The following is a 3,170-nucleotide window of genomic DNA, read 5'->3' as shown; positions in this document are numbered from 1 at the left end:
AAATGAGTTAACCTGTAGAAAGTACTTGGAACAGTGGCAGGCACACAGTAAGCATGACAGGAATGATGGTATGATGTACACATGTGACTACATTTAAATGTATTATCTTGGCACATCTTTTATTCATCAACATTCTTTTATTGAACACATATTTATTGAATATTGAATATGTGCCAGGCTTGAGCTAGACACCTGGAGACATCTATGAGCAAGGTAGACTGCGTCCTGATATTGCTGAGCTTGTACTCTGATGGGAGAAACCATAATAAATAAGTCAACAAATATATAGACAGTGTAATGACAGATTATAAGAAATGCTGTGAAGAAAATAAACATAGTGATGAGACAGAAAAGAGAAGGAGCAACTGTCTTAGGTTGTGCAGGCAGGAACAATTAACCTGAGATCTGACTGGTGAAAGGCAGTCTGCCATATAAACAGCCGAGGGAAGAACTTCCCAGGCAGTGAGGGCAGTTTGGGCAAAGACCTTAAGGAAGAGAGTTTGGCCTGTTCTAGACTGGTCTAGAAGGCTCACATTGCTGCAACATGGTGAGCCAGGGTAGTAGGGCCCCAACCAGGCTGAAGAGGTGTTCAGGCCCCAGAGCACTCAGCACCCTGTAGGTGGTGCGAAGGCACTTGGGTTGTATTCTTATGCAATAGAGCCCACTAAAGAGAGACATGGTCTGCATAATGCACTTATTTTTAATCAGGGAGACCAGCTGTAAATACTAATAGGTTGAAAAAGAGGTGGTGGCAAGGAAAATGGAGAGGAGTCCAGGCAGCCATTTGCATGTGTGTTTGTGTATTTAATAAGGACCACGTGTTCCACCGTTACGCTGGCTTAGTGGAGGATTTCAGACTGTTCTATGTCTCCTCACTTGGGGCTTGGGCTGCCCTTTCATTCCACCGCCATTCCTAGAGGTGTCAAGATACCCGCCTTCACCTTTATGCAGTGCTTCTAGATAGTCTACAAGGTCCATGGCTGTTTACAGGGAGTCGTCCACATGAAGAGGTCAGAGGAAAGGCAAGCTCAGGTGACTGAAGAATGCCGGCACTGTCTGTTGATAGACTTCAATGAAGAAATAGGAATATGAGTAGAGCTGTTTTTATAGAGCCAAAAATTGGTTTCACTATTTCAGTAGGCAAACTTCAGGGTTGCAGAGAAAGCAGGAGTGTCCCTACAGTCCTGTGAAGATGGTTTGATTAGAGCTCCACAGGAAGGCAATGGTCAGGAAAAGGGCCACTGAGTGGTTCCATAAACTGCCGCTAAAGGAGACCTGAGCCAACTCCACCCCTCTGCCAACAAGAATGGAGGCTGGTTGCCTGGCAACCATGATGCCCCCCCTCCCCCGTTTAGTATTAGAAGTTTTAATTAGTCAAGCAAGGCTGCTCTTGATGTTATTCTCATCTGGTTTCATCTGTCCAAACTTATTAATGCTGAAGGACAGGGGCTCCCACAGTGGCTTGCCTCAGTCCCGTACTGCGTGGGTGACCCTATCTCTAAAATCATAGTCCGTGAGCACTGTTAGAGTATCTAAGGTCTGCGGCTTTAATTTTACAGCTGAGACCCAGAGAATTTAGCTGGCTCAAGGTGACACAATCAGTTAACAGCACAAGAACCCTCTTGGAACTAACGCAGTTCCCTGACAGGAGGTTGCTGGTTGGAATTTAACTGAACTGGCTTGACTTGACTTCCCACAGGGACCTTCTTCTTGCTAGGTACTTGAAGGCCTGTCATGCCTGTTTGCAATGCAAAATGGCCCCTTGCAAAGTTGTGCTTGTGGAATTAGTCTCACTAACTCACAATTAGGGGGAGAACAGATGGAACCAGTGGAAAGACTTTAGAACAAGGGCAGTTCTGTTACGTTCGAGTACTGTAACTATAGCGAAAAAAAACTTTTAATAAAGGGCAGCCAAGGAAAGGTCCAGCCAGAACTCTCAGGGAAAAGTTGGAGTCAGCTTGCCTTTCCAAGGCTCAGGGCTCTGTGGGCTTGAAAGGGCTGTCTGAGCGGGGATTGGAGGGCTGGCACCTGGAGTTTGAATCTGTGGAGATCAGGGACCGGGATTGCAGAAGGTAGTACTGGATGCCTACCTTTCAATTAGTGCATTCAAAAGGGCAAAAGGTGAGGGAGGCAATTTGGTATGGGTATGCAGTTCTGAGTGACATATAAAAATGTGACAGGCTCACATAGTCATGGCTATGATCTGAGACTGCAGGGCCTGGTTCTCAGGGACCTGTTTTTCAGAAATGAACAGCCTAAGGTTTATTCATTTTGTCCTAGGAGACAGGCCCCAGGTTTGGAATTTAGCATGCATCAGACCCCGTGCTTATCTGCCCTGCCTAATTTCTTTTACAGGTTACCAAGTTTCAAATGAAGGCACAGGCAGCCTTGTAGAAGAAAGGGGCAGGAATAGGAAGCAAATAGTTTAGGCAGTTGGGGAGATAAGATAGGGCTTTGTTAACCAGGAGGCTGACCCAGCTTTCTGAAGCGGGAAGAGGGGAGTACTTTGCAATTCAATAATCACTGAGTGCCAACCTTAAGTGTCAGGAAGGGCACGAACATAACAGGCTACTAAGAGGGGCAGAGCAGAGGCCCTCCTCTTCACAGCCCACATTCTTCACTCAGTGTAACTCTGAGGACCACTTTCTTCTTAGCACCAATTGGTTCTACTCATCTCACTTCAATCTTCAGCAGCCTGGGGCCTGTGGCAGTCCCAAAGTGAGTGAGTGTGTGTGTGTGTGTGTGTGTGTGTGTGTGTGTGGTGTTGGCAGAGGTGGTGGAGGGGAGGGGGTTTTGCTGGCAAATTATGGAGTATTATAAAGTTGTTAAAAACGACTTAGTTCAATTCCTTTTTCAAGACCAGTATTACCCATGATACCAAAACCAGACAAAGACATCACAAGAAAAGAGCTATAAATCACTCTATTCTATTTTAAAAGGTCTTGTTTATTTCATGTTTGTAACCGTAATAAGTTATCTGCCTGATGCACACAGCAAGTCAATAGGCTGAGACACTGGGTTGCAGCAGAGAATGAAGTTTAATTGTAGGGCAGCCAAACAAGGAGACAGAAGGAAACCTCAAATCTGTCTCCCTGTGGAGTTTGATGGTAGACTGTTTAAGGGTTTTGGGATGACCACAGTGTGGAGATTATTGATCGGTCAAAGAGTGC

The 3,170-nt window shown here is 45.6% G+C and overlaps 2 annotated features.

Annotated features, from left to right (window-relative positions):
• Nucleotides 524-818: a silencer, noted in NCBI's record as "tiled region #8782; K562 Repressive non-DNase unmatched - State 21:Repr". NCBI's record gives its function as "represses a minimal TATA promoter and a strong SV40 promoter by Sharpr-MPRA in K562 cells {active_cell/tissue: K562}" and the evidence as "EXISTENCE:reporter gene assay evidence [ECO:0000049][PMID:27701403]".
• Nucleotides 1,527-2,056: an enhancer, noted in NCBI's record as "H3K4me1 hESC enhancer chr4:83506651-83507180 (GRCh37/hg19 assembly coordinates)". NCBI's record gives its function as "activates a minimal SCP1, AML or CMV promoter by ChIP-STARR-seq in naive H9 embryonic stem cells {active_cell/tissue: H9 hESC(naive)}" and the evidence as "EXISTENCE:reporter gene assay evidence [ECO:0000049][PMID:30033119]".

Source organism: Homo sapiens, chromosome 4, assembly GCF_000001405.40.
Source record: "Homo sapiens chromosome 4, GRCh38.p14 Primary Assembly".
NCBI classification, from domain to species: domain Eukaryota; kingdom Metazoa; phylum Chordata; class Mammalia; order Primates; family Hominidae; genus Homo; species Homo sapiens.
This window is presented reverse-complemented; position numbering and strand designations above follow the sequence as displayed.